Raw genomic sequence first — 25,406 nt, forward strand, 5'->3', positions numbered from 1 at the left:
AAAACTTGAACTTAAATCACTGAAGATATTGAGGATTTTTAAAACTTAAATTTCCAAGTTTTACCATTATATTATCATGTCTCATTTTTTTCTGCAAAAGAAATATGCAAAACCAAAGTTCACCTTGCACATTTCCCCTATGTCAGGTAATAAAGGCTTCCAAGCTTGGATTTTCTGAGGTTAAAATTATTTGCAGGTGCTCCATTGCATGTACAAATAATTGATTAATTAAGGATGTTCTCAATCATTATCAGGTATAATTAAGTGCATGCAATCAGTTGTATTGAGACAGGGAAATTGCTGGCAAATTTGAGAGTTCACTTGCTCCAACAAAAATCATACTTTGGTTCCCATGATCACATTTAGCCAAAAAGTAGCATAGAGGACTGGACCCATATCATGACATTTAAAAAGTATTTTCATAATGCTTTTTGTGACTAAAATTGTGATGCTGCTCATTTAGTCACTTATTGATATGACCGAATATTGTGCTCTTTATAGACCCACGCTGTCAGGTTCATGATTACAACAAATGCCATGCCGAGGTCTGAAGGGAGTGGGTGGATAAGTAGAAAGAACAATCGGGGCCGTAGGCAGGTGAAAGATGATTTTATTTAGCAGCAGCTCTCATCGACAGCTTTCTTATACTAGCTCTCTACACTGTTCGCCTTTATTTCAGCTGTTTGCTCCTGCCCTGTGGCTCCTGCTGCCCCCATGCCTGCAGCTGCATGGCTGACATTCCCTTGGCTTCAGGGTCAGCAGCTTAACTCTTTCTCTGGGCATGAGCGAGCCAAGCTTTGTCCTGGCTCCCCTCTCTCTGTCTGCAAAGATGGACAGCTCTGACTCTCTCTCTCTTTCTCTGGGTGGCTGCACCTGCACAGTGTCAGCAGGGCAATTATACCTTTTACAGACAATATTGGCATAGAACCAAGTGATGGCCTTCCCATGTTACGGCTACATGGCTGTGATAACAAGTGAAGTTATATGCCTTTGCTCTGAACTCACTGAGTCATGCAAGATGTAAACATCCTACCTCGGCCTATCCTTGACCAAAGCACAGCCATGTTCCTTAAACTCCACCCGCTAGGCTGAGCAAGACATAGGTCTTGGATACACAGGTTATACATAGAAGCTTTGGGTACATAGGTGCAATAGACACACACAGGCTTTATACATAAGTTTTGGGCACATAGGTTTGATATACAGGCTTGGCACACAGGCCGTACACACCCGATGATGTGAATGAAACTGTACTAATGATCCTGGATTTTTATCCATTCATTCATCCATTTTTTTTCATTTATCTATTCATTATCTTTTCAACAAACATTTATTGAGTGTTTTCTAAAGTAGTTTTTAATCTTGGCTGCATGTCAAAATCCTCTGTGAAGCTTTTCAAAAGTAGTGATTCCTGAGTAATAAACCCCTGAAACTAATTCAGTAGATCTGGAGTGGAGCCAGGCATTTTTGTCAAAAGCACCACAGGTGACTGTGATGTACAGTCAGAATTAAGAATCACAAGCTTCTCTGTCAAGTACTAGGGATATAAGAGTGAACGCGAAATAGTTCTTATTCACAAGGAGATCAGAGTCAAATGAGTGAGATAAATAAGTAAACAAGTAATTACAGAAGAGTATGATAAGTGCTATACTAGGGGTAAGCACACCTCTTCTCATGTATATTGGTACTAGGTTAACAAAGTCCATTGATGGACTATAACACACAAAAAGGAGATTTTCTCTCATCAAACCTAATGACACAAATTGTGATTTTCCATCTTACCTACTCTATTCCTTAATCAAATGAATTAGCCATATTAGACTCTGTGGTGAAACTCAGGAGATGAAAAAGCAGAACAATAAGTTTCTATTTCTGATAACAGTATATGGGAGATGAGAAGGAGGTGAAGAAGAATTGCAAAACAGTGAGCTCCTCAAGGGCGGGGACCATTTTTCTGTCTTATTAATATTTTTCTCCCTGTGGCCTCATTCAGAGTCCAGCATAAGAGTAGGCATTGAATCTGTTAGTTTTTTTTTTTTATCTTGTGTTCTTGATTAAATCAGGAGCCAGCTGTTCTTACCTAGTTTGTGCATTCCTAAGATAACTCTGTTCCTTGTTCTCTGATCAGTGACTTTCAGGAGAAAACCATTTTTCCTTCCTCAGAGGCACAGAACTTTTATTGTCTTTAAGCTTAATAATTCATAGAACCTTGCTAATCCTTTGTGGTTGGATTATTTTTTCTTATCCATGTGTCCCATTGCCAGTCGATGTTTTGTTCTTACTACTTTAATTTCCATTATCGCGTGCCATTTTATTTTAATTTTTATATATTTTGAGACAGAGTCTCACTCTGTCGCCCAGGCTGGAGTGCAGTGGTGCAATCATGGCTCACTGCAGTCTCAACCTCCCCAGACTCAGATGATCCTCCTGCCTCAGCCTCTGGAGTAGCTGGGACTACAGGCATGCACCACCGTGCCTGGCTAAATTGTAGGATTTTTTTGTTTTTGTTTTTGTTTTTGTTTTTTGGTTTTTGTTTTTTTGTAGAGACAGGGTTTCACCATGTTGCCCAGGTTGGTCTTGAACTCCTGGGCTCAAGCCACTTGCCTGCCTTAGCCTCCCAAAGTGCTCCCAAATCCTTCCCTCCTAAAGGAATTACAAGCATGAGCCATCGTGCCCAGCATCACATGCTATTTTATATTCTTTTGTTTCTTTTTAATTTCATTTTACACGATCTGCTTTGACAGCCTTTCTTCCTAAAAATTACAGACATGAGGTACCAGTATAAAGGAAGGATAGCCCTGGAAGTTTAACCTATCTAAAATAAGGGAAGATATGTGCCTTTGATCCCCCAGAGAAGTACCAAAAAAGCTCCACAAAACACATTGCTCATTGCAGACCTCTTGTCATCTCTTGGTCCCTAAAGATGGGACTTAGTGAGGTTGACAGGACGACATCTAGAAACGTCTTCCAGGAAATCCATCAGACATAATGCAGGTCAAAATTCCCCAAACAAAAGTGAGAAGGCCCCAGAAGGAAAGCTTCATAGATTAAAGTTCCCCTATTATCTTTAAGACCATCTATTCCCAAATATAGCTGAAAGCTCTTATATCCATTCTGCATGACTTTATGACATTGGCAAGGCCAAAGTAGATCTTATAAAGAAAAGCTTGTCTGATTGCAGTGGTTTTAATTTGTCAGCTGCAGATTCATATATACTAGGGGATATACTTAATGTGAACATGATTTATATAAACTTGAAATTCTATAATATAAAATACTAATAAATTATCACTTTGGGTGAATGCTTTGAAAATTGATTTCATCAAATGAAAGGAATTAGGAATCTCATCGTTTGACAGCTAGCTAACTAAATGAATTATAAATTATGTCCATCCTTCTGCCACAGGAAGGTGCTATTTTAGCTAGTAAGCCAAAATGTCTAACAAACTTTAATGTCAAATAAACCAATGCTGTTGTTTATATTAGAACTACATGGTTATTTCAGATACTATTTTGTTATTTTTTTGGTTTTGTTATGAAACATTCCATTTTCATTAATTTTACAAAACACATTTACTGAAAATAGTATGCAAACATTTATTGAGCTTTCTGCCTTTCTATTTTATGAATTAAGAGATTCTGCATTAAAATGTCAATAAAGTTAAGCAGTTATGTTGAACCATCATTTTAATTTCTGCAAAATATCAAAGATAATGCTAAGAAATTTTTAAAAAAATTATAGCAAAAATATCCTGCAGTTCTTATTGATTTATGTGCTCCATGAATGTTTACTTCCTATTTTACATGAAAATATATGTTTGTTCATATTCTTAGAATACTCTGAAACATATTTCCCAGTGGCCCAAACTCTTTATTAGGAAAATGGACGAATTGAATAGCAAATGGTAAGAAGCTGGCCTTCCTTTTCAGTTTTGATATGGACATCATGTTCCTGAGAGACCTGGTTGTTGGAAGATAAATCCCCTAGTGTCTAACATTCTCCAGACTTTTGGCAAAGTAATTTTTATAGAGGAAAGAACCATCACACTGATTTGGTTTACTTTAAACCACCAGGTTCTCAATTCTGTGATTCATGTAAGATATTATTTCTTTCCGTCTCTGATCTAGTTTCCAAAGAATATTAATCTGCTATGCCTGATCTTTACTACTAGGTGTTTAGATTACTGAAATGTGAACTAAGGTGCCAGCCTTGTATAATTAACTTTTCTTTAAGAAACATGCTAAGGAGATTAAAATGCCAAGATTGCAGTTATTTTCTGAGATCTTCATTAAGAACAAATCTGTACTAGAAACACTACTTCTCTATGGGATAATACTCTTCAGGAGCATGGTACAAAATCAAGGAAAAAATTTTGTATAAATCTATTGAACATTATACATTAATATCTTGTTTGTATGCCAGTGGTTATAAGCTTAAGGAAAATTATATTTATTAGTTTATTTAGAAATTAGTAATTTTTGCCTATCTCAATTATTGAAGTAGATGGGACATACCTGTTTTGATGTGCATGTTTTAAAATATGATATAAATAATATACATGTATTCTGCAGTTTACTTCTTTTATATATTCTAGATACATGTCCCTTATTAGATGTATGATTTGCAAATTTTTTCCCATTCTCTGACTTGTCTTTCATTTCTTGATGGTGTTGTTTGAATGAGAAAGGTTTTTAATTTTGATGAAGTCCAGTTTATCTAATTTTTTCTTTTGTTGTTCACAATTTTGGTGTCATATCTAAGAATCTTTTGCAACATTCGAAGTCATTAAGATTTAGCCTTATGTTTTGTTCTGAGAGTTTTATAGTTTGTACTTTTACAGTTAGGTCTTTGATCCATTTTGAGTTTGTTTTTGTATATGATGTAAGAGTCTAATTACATTCTTTTACATGTGGCTATCCAATTGCCTCCGCATCATTTGTTCAAAAGGCTTTTCCCAATTGAATGGTCTTGGCACTCTTGTCAATAATTAGTTGACTGTATAGGTATGGGTTTATTTCTTGACTCTCAATTACATTCTATTTTTCTCTATGTCTGTTGCTATGCCAGTACCACACTGTCTTATCATTGCTTTGTAGTAAGCTTTGAAATTCATAAATGTAAGTCCTGCTACTTTATTCTTTTTTTTCTTTCAAGATTATTTGGGCTGTTCTAGGTGCCTTGCAATTCCATATGAATTTTAAAATCAGCTTGTTAATTTGTACAAAGAAGTCAGCTGGAATTCTGATAGGGATTATATTAAATCTTAGATCAGTTTGGGTAGTATTCCCATCTTCCAGTCTTTGAACATACAGTAATTAAGTCTTCCAATCTGTGAACATTCAGTAATTTCCCATTTATATAGGTCTTTAATTTATTTCAAAAATGTTTTATAGCTATGGCCTTATCACTTCATTCCTATCTGTATATCCAAATGATCACATGGCCTCATTTTATTTCAGCTAAAAGTATTTCCTTTCAATTTCTTGAATGCAGACCTATTCACAGTGGATTGTCTCACTTTTTATTTATTTTAAAATGTCTTTGAACCTTTATTTTTGAATAAATATCTTAGTAGACTTAGCCTTCTTCGTAAACAGAGTGTTCTTCTCAACACTGTTTATGTTATTCCACTATCTTCTGGCCTCCAGTGTGCTCATAAAAAATTAGCTGTTAATAATATTTTTGTTCTTCTTTATGTAATGAATTTTCTTTTCTGTTGGCATTTTTTTTGTTGTTATCTTTGGCTGTAGTAGTTTTATGATATGCCTATGTGCAGCCATTTTGTTTATTATATTTGTGCTTCATTGAGCATCTTTGAGTTAACGTTTTTCACCAAATTTGAGAAGGATTTTGTTATTATTTCTTTAAATATATGTCCACCATTTCTCTTTCTGTGCTCCTTGTTAAACTCCAATTATCCTTATGAGTTATGAAAGGTTTTTTTGCCACATAGTTTTAAACCTTGGAAGAATGTTTGGGAATAAGAGGGGGAAGTATGAATGAAGTGCCACCACAATTTTCTAAGAAAACTTAGTTCACTAAATATGCACACAACTACACAATTCATTAGATTTACAGTGAAAAATATTAATGTTACCGGTCTTCTTTTCCTATCTTTACAACATTTGTTTTAGGAGCATTTCCTCCCTCTGCTATTTATACACGGAAAGACTTACTACAGCGATCTACCCATATTGCCACCAAGACTTTCCAGGCTCTTCGCATATTTGTGAACAATGAGCTCAATGAACTCTACACGGGACTGAAGACAGCTCAGAAGTTTCTGAGACCTGGTGGTCGTCTTGTTGCCCTCTCCTTCCATTCACTAGAGGATCGCATCGTCAAAAGATTTTTGCTTGGAATAAGCATGACAGAAAGATTTAACCTAAGTGTTAGACAACAAGTGATGAAAACATCTCAATTGGGTTCAGATCACGAAAACACGGAAGAAGTCTCTATGAGAAGAGCTCCTTTAATGTGGGAATTGATACACAAGAAGGTACTTAGTCCACAAGATCAGGATGTACAAGATAACCCCAGAGGGCGCTCAGCCAAGCTTAGAGCAGCTATCAAATTATAAGTTATCATCATCTTATTCTTCAAATTTTTTTCTCACAATTTCTCTAATCTTTACTCATGTTATGTCCCTGAATGTCTTGGTATAGGTTTAAGTGTGGGACAGTCTGAAAATTGATAGCATTTAGCATTTCTTTTTTCTCAAAAAGAAACTGTAGGAAATACATGACAGAGAAAGTTACACTCAGGGAGCAGCAGCACCTCCAGACTGGAAAAATATGTTAATCTTTGCATCATATTGGACTCTTGAAGGCAATCCTTCCTCTGGCCAGGAAATTTTTTAAAAAATAATACTGTGTTGTGTTTATCTAAATACGTAAACTCAAGCTACCAAAGAGAAAGATGTTGTAATCATATCTGCATGTCCTAAATTTTGAATTTAGATATTCCAATTTGCATCAGTCTTTCTGTGGCTCAAATAATGATGATTATGGAATGAATTTTAATGTCCCTACTTGTGAATAATTAGCTTTCTCAAATGTAGGCTTTTTACAAATTTTAAATTTTAAAATATTAGTTTAAATGTGTGTTATACTGATAAAATTTCATCTTTCAAATTATAGTCTATTATTTTAAAGGGATTTTTCAGTATGATATGGGCCATTTTGTTCATCTATCGCAAAGTAAAAATGTAAAATCCTTACAGAGAATTGTTTCACAAAACTTATATTTCATGTCAATTGTATTTATTTTAATAATAGCTCACAATGCCTTTAGTAAGTAATAAAGTCTCTTATTAGAATCTTGTATTTTTTAATTGAGCTAATCAAAATAATTCAGCCAAGTCTATTTGAAATAGAAAACTGTCTATTTAATATAGTAAAATCAATGCTCCCTTAATGTTGTTACAAAGATATGGTAACTGTAATATGGGTAAAAGTTTATTCAAGAAAAGAGTACTTGGTAGAAGATTCTTTAACAAATTGAGGAGATTGATTCATAATTCACATGTCAATTTTTTATAGTAATATGTACTTCTAATTTATTATTTATACTTAAATTGTGACCTGAAAGATGAGTTGGAGATAATTAGTCAAAGGGCACATGGAGTATGGAAGGGGGCATGTTGATTAACCATACATAGAAATAAATATTCTCTTAGTTATCCTTGAAATCATATTTATACTATTAATTTGCTCAGTGCACTTTTTTCAAATACAGAAAAAAGATTCTCCATTATAGTTACAAATTTTAGGTTGGTGAATCCAAGTGAATGAAATATCAGCATAACTATGTGGGCAAAATAGATAGAATTAAATGCATGAATTTTCCTCAGACTTATTTTATCTGCCTCTGTAATATTTAACTTTAGTACCCAGGCTTGTTCACTACTTCTGCTTTACAGGCTTTATTTAAATCTGAACAATCCTACAGGGAAATCAGAATTAGGAAAAAAATCTGGAGAACAATATGGTTGAAATAGAAACAAGAGAATGCACCTAGGTTAATTCCCTGAATCCTACTTGAACATTGTATAAATTTCTCTTTGCATATAATACATATTTGTGAATGAGACATATTCCCAAAAAATTCTTATCTCTGTATGTGATTGGAAAAGAAAAGATCACATTTGTATATTCAACAATCTTTCACCTATTTCATAAGTCATTTTTTCACCCTGTATAGTATGGGAATTATTTTTTATGTTAAATAGAAACTGAATGTACTGGGTTGAATGGTGTCCTCTCCAAAATTCATGTACTTCCTGGAGCCTCAGTATGTGACCTTATTTGGAAATACTGTGGTTGTGGTTGTAAGTAGCTAAGATGAGGTCATACTGGAGCAGGGCAGGCCCTTAATCCAATATGACTGGTGTTCCTTATAAGAGAAGATAGGGCGGGCATGGTGGCTCACGCCTGTAATCCCAGCACTGTGGGAGGCCAAGCCAGGCAAATCGCTTGAGGCTGAGGAGTTCAAGACCAGCCTGGCCAACATGGCGAAAACCCATCTCTACTAAAAATAAAATTAGCCATGCGTGGTGCTTGTAATGTCAGCTACCCAGGAGTCTGAGGCACAAGAATCACTCGAACCTGGGAGGTGGAGGTTGCGAGATCACACCACTGCACTCCAGTGTGAGCAACAGAACGAGACTCTGTCTCAAAAAAAAAAAAAAAAAGGAAGAAAGAGAAGATAGAGACACAGGGGAGAATGCCACATGAAGCTGGAGGCAGAGATTGGAGTGATACATTGTGGGAACCCTCAGAAGATAGGAAAAAAGCATGGAATAGATTCTCCCTCAGAGTTCCAGTAGTTGCCAACCCTGCTAACATGGTTTTGCACATCTAGCATCCAGAACAGTGAGAATGTATTTCTGCTGTTTTAAGGTACCCAGTTCATGGTAATTTGTTACAGCAATCCTAGGAAGCTAATACTCTGACAGAAAAAAATCTTGGATAATATGCATGAGAAAAATCCTTCAATAAACACAAAATTGGTTTCAAAATGTTTTCATGTAAAAATAAATTAACTTTTCTGTAATTAGATTGTGTTTTATAGTAATTCTTGCCTGCTTCTTAGTCTTTGTTGTAGGATGCATAATAAAATACATGAATGAGTTTTAAATGGTTAGCTTTGGAGAATGGTTTTGGGAAGTTCCTACAGTACACAGAAATAAAAGCTAATGTTACTATGAATGCGCATTACTTTTCTAATAAAATGTTTCTGAATCTCTGTCTTGACTGCCTTCTATGAATCATTTTAACATAGTATCAATGTCATTGTGTAGTACATCAGTTCTTAACAGTTTTTAGTTCATTACTTAAATAAAATTTAATAACTACAATTTTTAGATAATATCCCTATTTTTATTTTATTTTTAAAATTGTATATTAATTACTATGTTCTTTGAAGTTTCTAGGGGTGTTCTTGAAAGACACTATATCTATATGTCTTTTCTATTTCATGTAGTATATGATATATTATTTGTGCTTAAATTCATTGTAGTAAACTATTTGTTGTGCTACAAGCAGTAGTTTATAAGAGAATACAGTATGCCTAATTAGATTTTTTAAATGAACTAATATTTCTTAAAATTCACTTGCAAATATTTGAAAATCATATTTTCTTAAGTCTTTGCAGAGTATTACATACCTAAGGTTTTTAAAATTTTTGTTTCTAATTTTTGTTTTTAAGAAGTAGAGATAATGAATCTGTACTGCAGACTTTTAAAAAATAATTTTACTTTCATTTGAAATCTGTCATTCAAAAAGTATGAGACAGTTCTTAATGGGACTTAATGGCTAAAAAAAGAGAAAAATATATGTATATATGTACTCAAGCGTATATTAGAAGCTAACTGTTTAGGAAGAAATAAAAAAATACCTTTTTCACCACTCTCCCTCTTTTTATATACCATCCCTTCTTCTCTGTTCACATTGGTATGTAAATTTGAGGTGACATTAATTATGTTTCAATTTATCTCTGGAAAAAGAAATATTAGGTAATTTTGGCACATACCATGACAAACTAAGCCTTACATATTAGAATCTTTTTAATAGATTAAAAACTAAATTAAAAATTGCTTCTGGTTAAAATTTTGTAAAATTTATTTTACTGCAATTATTTTTCTATTTAGTTTTCATAATTGCTTCAGTATCCTAATTGATATTTTTGTGTAGCAGCATTCTATAATAGACAGGGATAAGCATTTAAACATAAAGAGAATTTTGTGAGGTGCTTGATAAATATAAATTTGAAACTCTGATCAAAGATATATTTTTCTCATAACCACAATGCCATATGTTTGATGTTGATTGAAGTATGGTTTGTAAAAATCAACCCTATATTCTAAAGAGGCTGGGTTGTATAACAAACACAGCTATTTTTATATTATTTTCTCAAATCTTATCTGTTTATAGCTACTATATCCAACTAATGTTTGGTAACACAGGATGATCTGCAGGAATGCTAAGAGAAAGTTTACATATAAATTATTTTTTTAAAGTCTAGTTGCAGCATAAAATTTTAAAAACATTTAAAATGAAGAATTGTACAACATACAATGGTCATAATTTATAATGCTTGTCACTGACTTTTTGGCCACCTCACTTCCTTCTCATAATCTGCCCAAATTATTAGGCAACAAAGTAAAGAAAATTTAATATTTCAATATGCACAGCAGGAGATTGTGTCTTTGGTAATGTTACTTTAAATACTGAACAAGTTTTCTACTATTAGCTGTTGTCCTATTAAATATATCATTGCTCAAATGTTAGAATACAAAGGTGAAATCAAACAAGAGGACATGCTCCACTTGATTCTTGAATAATTATTTCTGTTCGTTAAACCCCATCTTTATGCTTTGAGCAATAACACTTGTCTGCCTTGCACAGGTGAAGATTTGTATTATTAAGCCATCAAATGATAGGATTCCTCATAATTTCACAAGGAAAAGTCTTATTATTCAAGTCTTATAGGTGCTAAGTTGAGGAGAAGACCGTATAGTATTGTGAATAACGCTATTGGCTGGGGACTCAGAAAACCGAGGGTTTGAATTCCGGATCTACATGTAATAACTGAATGTATGAACTTGGACATCCTATTTAATCTCTTGAATTCTCATTTGTTTCATTTTAAGATGTGGATATTATTGGTACTTTCTCATGTTGCTGTGAATCAAATAGAAGATAAATGTTTATGAACTGAAAGTTCTAAGAATGAAATGAGATAATGCACTGCTGTATTTTGGAGATGCTTTATTTGACCCCTCCAAATCTCATGTTGAAATTTAACCTCCAATGTTAGAGGTGGTACCTAATAAATGATGTCCGGGTCATGGGAGAGAGTCCCTCATGAATGGCTTAATGCTGTCCTCATAGTAACAATTGTTTTTGCTGTATCAATTCCCAGAGAGCTGGTTGTTAAAAAGAGCCTGGTTCCTCCCTCTTCTCTCTTGCTCCCTCTCTTGCCTTGTGATTACACACCAGCTCCCCTTTGCCTTCGACCATAAGAGGATCCACCCTGAAGCCCTTACCAGCAGCTGATGGTGCCATGCTTCTTGTATGGCCTAGAAAACCATAAGCGAAATAAATTTCTTTATAAATTACCCAGCCTTGGGTGTTCTTTATAGAATTAAAAATGGACTGAGACATGCATGTAAAGCAGTTAGCACAGTTCTGGACGTATAGTAAACACTCACTGAGTACATAGTGCTATTATTTTGCTGGAAAAGATTTACCAAAATCTAACTTACATTTCTGGACGTTATGGTTAAAGATGTCTTTTTTCCCCCCTTAGTAGTTTTAAGTGCAGCGTCTGCATCACTAGCAGGAATTGATAGGGTTATAGTCTGTTTTATTATTTGGGAACTTCACTCCCATGTATTATTTATTAAACACTCCCAGTATTTGCTACACCTTGACAGGGTATATAAAATACAGTCATTGCTCTTGTGGAGTTTCCATTTATAAGAAAAGATGGGATAAGAGGAGCCGGCTGCTGAAGTTATTTGGCATTCATTTAGGTAAGAGAAAGTATTTGTCCTCCTCCACCTTCATATCAGTAAGTGGCCAACCTACAGAGTCTTTATAGTCAGATTCTCCAAAATACATATTGAGGGGGAAAAGGAAATGAGTAATTTGTGAGATATTAGATGGAAGATTGTTGCAGGACTATGAAAGAGTTTTCTAATTCTGCACTCTAAAGCCAGTGAGAAGAGGCCAATAAAAAGGACCAATAAAAGTGTGTGTTGCAGGTCTTAAAGGGAAAATAACTGGTGGAAGATAGGTGGACTACACTCATGCACCACTTAACATTTTAGTCAACAATGGACTACATATACAATGGTGGCCCCATGAAATTATAATGGAGCTAAAAAATTCCTATCACCTTGTGACATCTTAACCATTGTAACATCACAGGGCAACGTAATAGTCACATGTTTGTGATGCTGCTGCTGTTAACCTGCACTGCCAGTCAGTACAATATATAATACTTGGTGATAAATGGCTATGTTTCTTTTTTATGTATTTACTATGTTTTATCATTATTTTAGAGTGTACTCCTTGTACTTATTTTTTTAAAAACATTACTGTTAACCTCAGGCAGGTCCTTCAGGAGGTATTCCAGAAGAAGGCATTGTTACCATAGGAGATGACAGTTCTATGTACATTATTACCCCTGAACACCTTCCAGTGGGACAAGATGCAGAGGTAGAAGATAGTAATATTGATCATCCTGACCCTATGTACATCTAGGCTAATGTGTGCATTTGTGGCTTAGTTTTTAACTAAAAAGTTTTAAAAGTAAATTTAAAAATTAATACAAAAAATATAGAAAAAGATATAAAGAAAATGTTTTTGTACAGCATGTTTGTGTTTTAAGCTCTGTTATTACAAAAGAGTAAGAAAGTCAACAAGTTTATAAGGTAAAAAACTTACTTTAAGCTAAAGTAGTTTATTATTGAAGAAATAAAATTTTTTATGTTTTAATTTTAATTTTTTTTAAGATACAGAGTCTTGCTGTGATGCCCAGGCTGGAGTGCAGTGATGGGATCACAGCTTGTTGCAGTCTTGAACTCCTGAGTTTTATAGAAATAAAATTTTTGTAGAAATAAAAATGGACTGAGACATGCATGTAAAGCAGTTACCAGGCCCAATACCCTAATCAACAATCAAGCAATCCTCCCACCTCAGCCTCCCAAAGTGCTAGGACTATAGGTGCAAGTCACCACACCCAGCCAGAAAAATATTTTTTATATATTTAGTGTAACCTAAGTATACAGTGTTTATAAAGTCTACAGTAGTGTGTAGTAATGTCCTAGGCCTTAACATTCACAACTCACTGACTCAAAGCAACTTCCAGTCATACAAGCACTATTCATAGTAAGTGCACCTTTTTTTATCTTTTATGCAGTATTTTTAGTATTTTTACTGTATCTTTAATATGTTTAGATACACAAATACCATTGTATTACAATTGCCTACATTATCAATACAGTAACATGCCATACAGGTTTGTGTAGGCTATATACCATTTAGCCTAGGTGTGTAGAAGGCTATACTATCTAGGTTTATGTAAGTACACTGCTGACACAAGGATATTGCCTAATGACCCATGTCTCAATGCCTGTACTTACAATTAGAGCTGATCTTTCCTTTTACAGACCCAGAAATAGATGTTAATCAGAACTGGATTCCTCTAATTCCCACCCCCTTAACTTTCATCTGGGCATTTATAAATCTCTTCCTTTATCCCTACTTTTTACCCCTGTGTTTCAGCAGAAAGCTTATCTTTGCTTCTTTTTTTTTTTTTTCCTGTCTTCACCAAGACTTGGTTCAGTCAATTTTACTTGCAACTGCAGTCTTTAAGCCTTTCTTTGCTAGTGTCTTTCCCTCAGCCTGCAAACATCTTCAAAAGGGCCCCATGCTAAAAGCAAACCCTTGACTGTTTTTCTTACCAAAATACCACCTATTTTCTGTTTTCTTTCATAATTTGATTTCTTAAAGAATCTACACTGCCTCCAACTCCTCATCAATTTTTAAATTTATTCTAGGGTATTCTTTATAGAAATCTTCTCTTAATAGTTAATGTTGGTTTTGTTACCAGGCCCAACACCCTAATCACCATCTTTAGCTACCTGATCTCTACAAGATTTGATCATGTTTATCCTTCCATAAAAATATTTTTTTCCATTGCGTCCTCCAAAATCAGTTTGTCTCTCTAACACTGATTCTTTCACGGAATCATCTTCTCTCTATTCCGTAGCCATATGGTGACTCATGTGAATTGTTTACAAGGTAGTTAGTCCTAGGAATGTGCATGTAGTGAGGGTAATACTGTGAAATCCCTCCATGATCATCCACAGAGTGGATGAGAGATATCAAAACAATAATGAAAGAAACAGAGTTTGGAGTCTTCCTAGATTTAAATAAAAGAAACTTTTTATTATAGTGTAGGTATTAAACCAGCAAGAATCAAGGTGTTAAAATTGACTTCAAATTACAAACCAGGACTTCAGCTTTGGTAATGACAAGATAATTCGGGTTAACCATCCCACTTACAACAACTAGAAACCCTGGACAAAATATTTTTTGTAAGAAATCTAGGTGAAAGCATCAGAGAGCTAATAAGGAATGAAAAAGATCTTGGAGGAGGAAAAAACGTAGAGGTTAGATCAGCATTTGTAGCTGCCAATTGTGAGTTTCAGAAAAGGCAGCTGAGAAACTAAGAGGAACTTTTGATAGTCTTTTGGGAAGTACATGTAAATTTGAAACCAAACTGGACCTTGAAGGAATTGGAGCTCAGTTTTAAATCATCTTAGCCCTTGAAGTTGGATTAAATTGATCCTAGACACTAGAGTCCCTAAGTGCCTTTCAAAAGCTATTTAAAATCTTTTGGGGAAAAAGTTCTAGTTCTAAAATAATTTCTGTAATTGTTCATATTTATTGTCTATCACTAAATCAAAAAGTGACCAGTCATGAAGAAATGTGATGTGATTTTTAAAAGATGAAGAATACATATAATAAAAAAGATACCCATGAGGGATTCACACACAATGCTGTACATAAGTTCAGGGAAATTAAAAAGCTGAAAACTATAAAAAATAAAAATTCTAGAACTGAGAAGTATAGTACTCAACTTTAAGAACTCCATGGATTGGTTTAAGAGCAGATTAGACACAACTAAAAATCATCAACTAAAAGATATTTCAGAAGGAAATATCTAGAGTAAAGCATAATGAGACATAAAGAGAATGCAAAAAAAAAAAAACTGTACAAAAGACATAAAAGTTAAAATGAGAAGTCTAACTCAGGTGTAATTGGCCTCCCAAAAAGAGAGATGACCAAAATCAACAGCAACAATGTAGCAGAAGCCATATTTGGAGAGAAAGTGACAGAATTTCCTAAAACTGATGAAAGACATCAAACTACAGATCCAAGAAGCTCCCAAACTTTCTAGGAACAGCATAGTAAAACCTGCTGCAAATCAAAGTTGAAGAAAAAAAGTCCTGTGAGTTGAAAGGAAAGAGGCATTCTCAAGGAATAAAAGTCACATGAGCCATGAGGAGGAGAAAGTAGGGGGGAAAGGGGAACTATTCGATGATAAAATCCAGCAAATCAAGATGTGAAAAACAAAAAATCAGTAAGGGAGAAGTTGTCTGGTAAAAAGAACTGTGATAAGCTCGGAATCCATGTAAATACAGAACTAAGAGTAAACAATCATGAGAATTATGGTTACAAAGCAAAATACACAAGGCTTGAAAATATAAAACTAGCAGCTCACTGAAATTATGAAGCTGAAGGGTCAGGAGATAGAGAAGTATACGTACACTAATTTGTTTTTAAGAAACAAGGATTCAATTCTGTCAAAATGTTGGAATCATTTTTAAATCATTTTAAAAATGATTCCAACATTTTTGTACATTTTATAATTTTGGTGACAAGGCATTTTTGACTAAAAATCTAGATTGAGCAATCCATTACTCTCTAATTTCAGTTAAATTCAAATTAAATGATATGCTTGTATTAAAAAATAAGCTACATAGTCCGATGTGCCCTCTCTATAAAAATTTTTGCTGTTCTAAAAGAAACTATCATCAGAGTGAACAGGCAACCTACAGAATGGGAGAAAAGTTTTGCAATCTATCCATCTGGCAAAAGGCTAATATCCAGAATCTGCAAGGAACTTAAACAAATTTACAAGAAAGAAACAACCCCATCAAAAAGTGGGCAAAGGATATGAACAGACACTTCTCAAAAGAAGACGTTTATGTGGCCAACAAACATACGAAAAAAACCTCATCATCCCTGGTCATTAGAGTGATGCAAATCAAGACCACAATGAGATACCATCTCACGCCAGCTAGAATGGTGATCATTAAAAAGTCAGGAAACAACAGATCTGGAGAGGATGTGGAGAAATAGGAACACTTTTACAGCATTGGTGGGAGTGTAAATTAGTTCAACTATTGTGGAAGACAGTGTTGCGATTCCCCAAGGATCTAGAACCAGAAATACCATTTGACCCAGCAATCCCATCACTAGGTGTATACCCAAAGGATTATAAATCATTCTACTATAAGGGCACATGCACACATATGTTTATTGCAGCACTATTCACAATAGCAAAGACTTAAAACCAACCCAAATGCCCATCAATAATAGACTGGATAAAGAAAATGTGGCACATATACACCATGGAATACTGTGCAGTCATAAAAAGGATGAGTTCATGTCCTTTGCAGGAACGTGGATGAAGCTAGAAACCATCATTCTCAGCAAACTAACACAGGAACAGAAAACCAAACACCACATGTTCTCACTCATAAGTGGGAGTTGAACAGTGAGAATACATGGACACAGGGAGGGGAACATCACACATCAGGGCCTGTCAGAGGTTGGGGGGCTAGGGGAGGGATAGCATTAGGAGAAATACCTATTGTAGATGACTGGTTGATGGATGCAACAAACCACCATGGCACGTGTATACCTATGTGACCTGCACGTTCTGCACATGTATCTCAAAACTTAAAGTATAATTAAAAAAAATTTGCTATTCTATTTACTCTTCTGTCCTTAGTGATACATGAAAGATATTCTTTATTAATGATGTTTAATTCTAGGTGGAGGGATTTAGTATGTTTAATCATTCTTTGAAAATGTTTTCTGTTTTAAAATGTTTGTAATGAATGTATATCCATTTTACAAAAGCAGTCTAGTTTCAGTATTATTTTGAAAGAGCACAGATTTTGGAATCATCTTGCATATAAATTTATCTCTAAACCTCATTTTACTCTTCTGAAAAATGAGGATGTTAACACCTATTTTATAAGGTGGGTGTATTAAACATGAATATTTATATATACAAGAGTTAAATAGGGTATGCACAAAGTAGTATCTTTTTTGTTTTTGTTTTAGTTACCGTTGTACTAGTTTGTCAAATAGGCTAAAATAACACATCTCTACTTACTTATCTGTAAAATGATGGAGTTTGTATTGGACATGCCAGTGTACTCTCCACTTCTGGAGTGGACTCTTCTCTGTGTGGCCATTTTGCAATCTTCCATGTCATTCCATGACCACCCTCTATCACCACACCATCACCCCAAATTTCTTGTTCCATTCCTATCACAGTTAATTGGCCCAGGGGTAGACTATGATGTAAAACTAGGCTAATCCTGGCTACAGGTGACTGACCCAATCTAGATCTTTCCTATTTTTAAAAAACATTCATGAGAAAAGGGGATTTCTTGGGCCCACTTCAATGTCTGAAAGGTGTAAAACTTAAAACTGTCAGGGCCACATTTTCACCATGTAAAAAAGAGTGACAACTTACAGAAGGAAAATAAAAAGACAGGAGTTGGAGAGCTCTTCCTGGGAGCATTCACATTCTTCATCCCAGTTGTTCTAGAAGCCCAGGTGTATCTATGCCCTTCCCATGATTTAGTTGTGCACCCATTCTTCGATTCTATTTTTTTATTTTTATTTTTATTTTTATTTTTTTGTGATACAGGGTCTTGCTCTATTACCCACACTGGAGTGCACAGATGTGATCATGGCTCACTCAGCCTTAACCTCCCAGGTTCAAGTGGTCCTCCCATCTCGGCCTCCCGAGTAGCTGGGACCACAGGTGTGTGGCACCAGGCTGGGCTAATTTTTTTTTTTTTTGTAGGGACAGGGTTTCTCTATGTTGCCCAGCCTGGTCTTTAATTCCTGGGCTCAAGTGATCCTCCCACCTTGGCCTCCCAAAGTACTATAACTACAGGCATGAGCCACCACACCTGGCCCCATTCTTGGATTTTATAAGCCATGAAATTCCTCTGTCCTTTCTTCCCCATTTTAAAAAATGGAATCAGTTTGGGTTGGATTTCTGTTATTTATAACCAAATCAATAACAGGTTTAGAATAGATGACTTTTAAGGCTTCTTTCATCTGAATGTTAAGTTAAACTATGTTCTTCACTTTTACTTGGTAACTGATTCACCTAAATGGGATTTTTCAGTATCTTAATAAAGCTTTGTGAAATTGTTTTGTATGCACAGTTGTACAATTCACATCCTAGTCTGTAATACAGTATGTTCTGTCACATATCTTTGTCGTTAGCCCTACTAACCAACATTTGATAATGTGCTTTTGAAAGAGATTATTTGACTCATACAACTTTCACTTAATCATGGCAAACATCTTACATTCCTACACAGTGCTGATTGGTAAGAAAAAGAGAATATGTCCTCTTCCTGAATTTATGTATATTCTTTATGATTCTGCTTTTCTCTTTTGGATGACAATGTACTTCTAACTGTAAAATTATTGTTTTCATACAAACCCCTTTGATGATGAAGAAAACCATGTTTAAATGCCAGCCAGATGTTTTTTCATTTCCCATTGTATACATACATATATAATATTTTTTCATGGGGTGGGGAAGGTCAGGGAGAAGAAAAAAAAAAAAAAACTTATAGTGAACATTGAACCTATCTAGTTATTCTAGAATCTATCTTTGTTCCTTAGAAGAAATTAAACATTTGCCTTACAACCAGAGAATAAACATCAACTAGAGAAAGCTATTGAATTTCAAAATCCCTTTGAAATGTCACATTAACCTGTTTAACTTTCAGTCAGTTCTTTAAAGTAGCAAACATTTCCTGATGACTCCCAGATCTACGACTGCTTATATTTCTCTAACTTAAAAGTTTGTTTCCTTCACTCACAAACGAACTGTGGTGAATGACTCAGCACTGTTTGGGCCTGGGAAAAGTGTATCGCAGCTGCAGTCCTGCATGCAGTCTTTCTTCAGATCAGTTAAATTTTTGAGCATTGAACAGGATCAAATGCTAAATCTAGTCTGTTTGACTAAAACTCTATACAGCTCTAGCCTTTTATTTAGCCTTCCAAATAAATTCTAATATTTAAAGTTGTATTTGTGCATAGGTTGTCTTTTATTTTGAAATGTACAGAAATCAGGCAACAACCATTTATTATTTTACTCAACATCTATTGAGTGTCTATTTGCAAGGCACTGGGGGCAATAGAGTAAAAAAAGTGCTTCTTGTTCTTGAAGACTGCTGTTTAATATAGGGTGAGACAGATATGCCAATTTTGAAAAGATAGTAGATAAACAGGGAAAATTCTGTAATAGAAGGTAAGTACTATGACAGCCCAAAGAAATAAAGAAATGAATGAAGTTTTCTTCCAAAAAGAACTGGGTTTATAACATTCGTTTAAGGTGAGAACTACAAGAGTTTTTTTGCTGAATCATCAATAGCTTAATTTCCTGGGACATAATTCACCAGGTGGCCTTTTCTTGTAATGTCATTGATAGTCTACTTGTTTCACCCTTACTTTTTGTTATTCTTGTTCACCAATCGCCATGCACTTTGACTTCCATGATATAGTTTTCTCAAAATGCTCTCTGTAGGATGACCAAGCACCATTTAGTTCTCCATGACATATGAATGCACATATTCACATTATTAAGAATACTAATATTGAGAGACATGGATGACTATGTAACAGTAATTATGAGATAATAACCTGTCTGAATGAGCCATATCTTCCTCGAATTAGGATTCTTAATATTTTTGAAGCCATGGTTCCTGAACCTTTGAAAAATCTAATTAAAAGTACAGGCTCACTAATGAAAACAGCACATGCACACTAATTTTGTTTATAATATCAAGAGATTTATGAAAGCTCTTCAGTTCTATCATGGGCTCCAGTCCAATAACTCCTGTACTAGAGAAACTTCTCTCAATTCAAGTCACATTTCCCACATGTGACCCAGTGATATGTCAAAGGGTAAAGGCTGAGATTTCTGCCTTTGAACCTCATCTGGTTCTTTCATACCTGGGTGCTTCAAGCTCCATACACTGTCTAAGAGAATCTCAATTTTGTCATCAATTAATATGGCCAGTGTCCCTGCAAAGCTAAGCTGGGCCCTCACAGAAATTTTGTGTTGGGCACAAAGAATGGAAGAGATTAAGTGATGTCTGAGGATTTGAATAGATTGACTATTCTAGACTAGTGCTGTCTAATATAAATATAATGCAAGCCACAAATTTTAGCCACATTGTAATTATACATGTTTGAGAAGCTACATTGAGGAAAGTAAAATGAAACGTGAAATTAATTTTAATAGTATAGTCTGTTTGATATATTCAAATTTTTTCACCATGTAATCAATATAAAAATGGAACGTTTTATATTCTTTTTTTGTTCAAGAGTTCAATATCCAGTGTTTATTTTACACTTACAGCACATCTCAATTTGGACTACATTTTAAGAACTTAATCACTACAGGTATATCTGGCTTTCTTAAAGAAATAATCCATTTTTCACCTTTTAAAAATAATTCCAGTCCCCCACCATAAGTATCTGGCAATAAATGAATAGTTTATCTTTTCTTTTTTTGTTGTTGTCGTTGTTATCATTGAGACAGCGTCTCACTCTGTCACCCAGGCTGGAGTGCAATGACGTGATCTCGGCCTACTGCAACCTCCACCTCCCAGGTTCAAGCGATTCTTGTATCTCAGCCTCCAGAGTAGCTGGGACTACAGGCGTGCGCCACCACGCCCGGCTAATTTTTTGTATTTTTCGTAGAGACGGGGTTTCACCATGTTAGCCAGGCTGGTCTTGAACTTCTGACCTCAGGTGATCCACCCGCCTCCGTATCCCAAAGTGCTGGGATTGCAGGTGTGATCCACCGCACCTTGCCTAGTTTATCTTTTCTAACTCAGGATAGTCATATATATTATTTTGGGAAATACAATTCTAGCTTGAAGAAAAAGGAGTATAATACTTTGCTGCATCACACATGGAATAAGATGGAATCTGTGTTCTCTGAACTGCAATGCAGCAACCCTTACGTATGAAGAAGCTGCATCTTTTCATTCCTTTTTTCTAAAGGACCAGTGGATTTGGTGCGCCAACAAGACAGCCTTTAAAATAAAATGACCAAAACAGACCTTTGTACCTACATCCAAAATCAAGCAAACTCATAGCAACATCTTTAAAAATTGCTTCAGGCTGACCACACCAGGATTGCTTTTCACATTAGAATTAAAAGATGGTGTCTATTCTGAGTAAATCAATGCATTCCTGACCAGGAACAAGTAATCACAGCATATATGAGGCCAGGAATGACATTTATAATGAAAGGTATTAAATGATTATTTTCTAAAACATAGAAATTCTTCACCGCCTTCATCACACAAAAAATATAAAAATAGGAGTAGTCTTGAAGACCAAATGTCAAAGCTATCACTCATATGCAGCAACTATTTTAAAGACACATCTTTAGCATGATTCCTCAGTTAAGCTACGTCCTGTATGCATCTCATTTTTGGAATAACAATTTTCTTGCCACTGAATGAAAATATGTTCTGAAATTTAAGCACCAGTTTTTTACCCAATTAAATGCTCTGTTGTGTTTTTAAATGGCATCATTTGAAACAGGCACATTATCCTTTGAGGAAAGGGCACATTGTTATGTTTTTTTGAATCTACACTGGGCATCTTGAATCTTTCTTGGAGTTAAAAATGTTCCCAGTGCTAGCAGTTAATAAATGTAAATAAGATTTTTTTAAAATGTGGCTACAATATTACAGTGTTAATTGCATTACTCACCAAAAATGCAATGAGTCATATTTTATAGGTGTTTCTTATGCAATCTGGAGGACTTTTTAGGCACTTGATAGAGAAGGAAGATACTCCAAACCTGGTAAAATGAGTCTAGAAAGACCATTTCCTTTCTTTAATGGGGTTTAGAAAATTTGTAATTAAGAATAAACTAAAGCAACTTGAAATTTTGTTATGGATTTATAGTCTTTTCAACTTCATCAGAATCACAAGAAAATTTGTTGATTTCAATTGTTCCCAACCTTTTCAAAATCAAAAATACTTTACAACAATAACAATGTTTAAGAAGAAATGTGTCTTCCTACTAAATAGAAGTCAAATTTATTTTCCTATTTTTATTTAAGGCATGTATAGTTACTAACCAGCATGTGTTTCGTGTACAACAACTTGTGTTCCATAATACATCAAGTAACTCCAGGGAAAAGAGAATTATGTATTATTGAGGTTAGCCTCCACAGGTGCACCAAAGACTAAAAACAGAAGACTGACCACATTAAGGCAAAGCAAAATGATAGACTCTCCCAGATTAGATGTCCATGTTTACTAACCACAGATTGACAAATGTAGTCATGGCTCAGCTCAAAAATGTCTATGACTCTTGTAACTAAGAGGAAATTGATACTTAAATAAGAACAAAGATGAAATACCAAATACTTGCACTTAAACTCCTTCACATGTTTCCTTGGAATTTCCTTCACCTCTTCTTCTAAAAGATGTGGTGGTAATGAGAATGTGCTTTGTTTCCCTTCTATTACAGGGAGCATAATGGACCAAGGGTACCTGCTGCTGCACTTTGAAGTGCAGTCTTGTGTTGCCACTGAGGCCATACCTACCAAGGGGTAGTTCCTACCAATGGTAAAGTGAGGTAGGAATAGTAGGGCAGCCTGATTCTTGGGAGAGAAGGGGACTACTGTCATTTACTTTGGCTGAAGGATTCATGAATGGTTTTGCTGAACATACGACCCAACCATCTTTACCTCTCATCTTCACTTGGGGTCAGACTTACATTACAATCTCATGGCTCTTCCAGCCCTCTCCAGCTCCTACGATATTTTCTTTCAGGAATGCATTTCTCCTAATAAACTCCTTCTGTATTCAATCCTGAATTGGCATCTGCTTCTCAGAGGACCTGGACTAACCCATCAACGCTAATGTCTTTTCCAATTCCTTCAGGATTAATCACTGAATTTCTGTGTACTCATTTTACTGTGCAAAATACAGAGGAAAGTGATCCTTCATAATTTGGCCCCAGCCCATCTCCCTGGCTGCAGCTACCGTCTTTCTGTGCTTTCTAGGCACCCAACTCACTATAGTACCCGGAATTCCACACTTTTGAAAATGCTGTCTCCTGTGCCTAGAATGATTTCTCTCTAAGTTATATGACAGCTGCTTCATTTTGCAAGACCATATCTAAGTTATCTCCTTTAGTAAGCCTTTCCTAACATCTCTAAGCAGAATTTAGACAGTGTCCTCTTCTTGCACCGATACTTTAGCATTTTTGAAGATTGGCCAGTTGTGTTTCAACATATCCATCAACTTGAGTTTGCCAATGGTTCCTCATGACTAGACCCAGGTTATGAAGTTTTGGTCTGACTGTCACACTTACTATTTTATTTTCATTACCATCCTATGAGATTGCACATGATATCTATGTGTCCCATTACTGATGGTGTTTGTTTCAATCACTTGATTAAGATTACGTCCACCAGGTTTCTCTACTTCTTGTTCCCTTTGTAATTAAAAAAATGTTTTGAATGGAGATACTTTGAGACTATGTAAAAATCTCGTTCTTTACCTCATTTTGACCTACTAGTTGTAGTGTCTGTTGAAGTTTCTTGCTTGGGTTAATTATTATGATTATTGCCAAATGGTGAGTTTATAAAACAATATTCCTTCCACATTTATTGGAAGCTTTCTGCTGTAAGGAAGAGCTTACTCTTCTACCCATTTATTGAATTTCTTCTTATTATTTTAAGACAGGGTCTCACCCTATCAGTCAGGCTGGAGTACAGTGGTGCAATCATGGCTTATTGCAGCCTCAGCCTCCTGGACTCAAGCAATCTTCTCAACTCAGCCTTCTGAGTAGCAGGGACTACAGGTGCATGCCACCATGCTTGGCTAGTTATTTTATTTTTTGTAGAGAACGGAGTCTCACTATGTTGCCCAGGCTGGTCTCGAACTTCTGGACTCAAGCTACACTCCCTCAGCCTCCCAAAGTGCTGAAATTACATACAGGCATGAGCCACCACTGAACTTTGTCTATCCATTTATGTATGTATGTATGTATGTATGTATGTATGTATGTATGTATGTATGTATGTATTTATATCATTGGGGTACTAGATTATTCAATGGGTTATAATTTGCTCTTTTAGCATTATTTAATGTTTCAATTGTACTTTGGCCACTGGGAGCCAGTTCCTTCAAGCTTACTTCTGTGTTCTTTTAATATGTCTGCATTCTTTGAGTATTTCCTTTCTTTCTATTATGAAAGGTGTTCCAGGCTCATCACATTCTCAGCCTCAGCCCTGGATTCAGTCATTTCTTCAAGGAGTCTTTGTTCATTTCAGTATTTCAAATGAAGATATGAGCATTAGGTGATCATTACTACTGGAGTACTATTACTCTTAGGCTGTTTCAGCAGATAGCTAGGAACCACATACATTTATATTTATCTCTATATACATCTACAACTAAAACTAATAGCTCACTCTAGTACCTTCAATTTTAATCCAATTTTGGCTGGGTTTATTATTGCTTTATCTTTTCTTTAATTGTCACTCCCTTTCCAATAGTGAAAAACCTGGTTCTCATTATTCACAATATATTTACTATCTGCTCAATCTCCCTGGGTGTGGCCAATCTGATAGTGCTGGGCCACCACACCCCTTGCAGGTGGACTTGCCCTGTGTTCAGATTAGCCTCCTCTGCACAGGTCTGCCTTCCTTATCTGGGCAGGCTACCTTTTCCGGCCTCACACAGGGCTGTTTGACAATGGAAGGCAGGATACTAATATATTGTCTAAATAAAGGAAAGGAAAGAGGAAGATATAGAGCTACTAACATGTCTTTATTCTTTTTTAATTGCTTACTATTTGCTTTAAAAAGAGAAAGCAAGTATCAGGTTTAGAGCCTTCTATAAGGAGTAGTATCTAGAATTTAATAACACTATTTGCTTTAATTGTGAGTATGTTTAGTTCCTTGATCTATTTATTTACCTTAAATATATTTTAATTGCAGAAAGAATTAAATTAT

The 25,406-nt window shown here is 35.2% G+C and overlaps 1 protein-coding gene across 11 annotated transcripts in view; it reads left to right on the top strand.

The window, feature by feature from the left end:
• Positions 1 to 25,406, top strand: part of METTL15 (methyltransferase 15, mitochondrial 12S rRNA N4-cytidine) — a 424,088-nt gene that overhangs the window by 215,873 nt on the left and 182,809 nt on the right. For 8 of the 11 annotated variants that reach the window (NM_001113528.2, NM_001297775.2, XM_011519940.4 and 5 more), the window contains one exon: positions 6,136 to 9,247. The exons of 2 other annotated variants lie outside the window; for them this stretch is intronic. In NM_001113528.2, coding sequence (NP_001107000.1) covers positions 6,136 to 6,581 — 446 coding nt within the window. In that variant the 3' untranslated portion in view covers positions 6,582 to 9,247. Of the gene's footprint in view, positions 1 to 3,834; positions 3,906 to 6,135; positions 9,248 to 25,406 lie in introns of those variants that run through there. One more of the 11 variants, NM_152636.3, reaches the window with a different exon arrangement.

This window comes from Homo sapiens, chromosome 11 (genome assembly GCF_000001405.40).
Source record: "Homo sapiens chromosome 11, GRCh38.p14 Primary Assembly".
Lineage (NCBI taxonomy): Eukaryota > Metazoa > Chordata > Mammalia > Primates > Hominidae > Homo > Homo sapiens.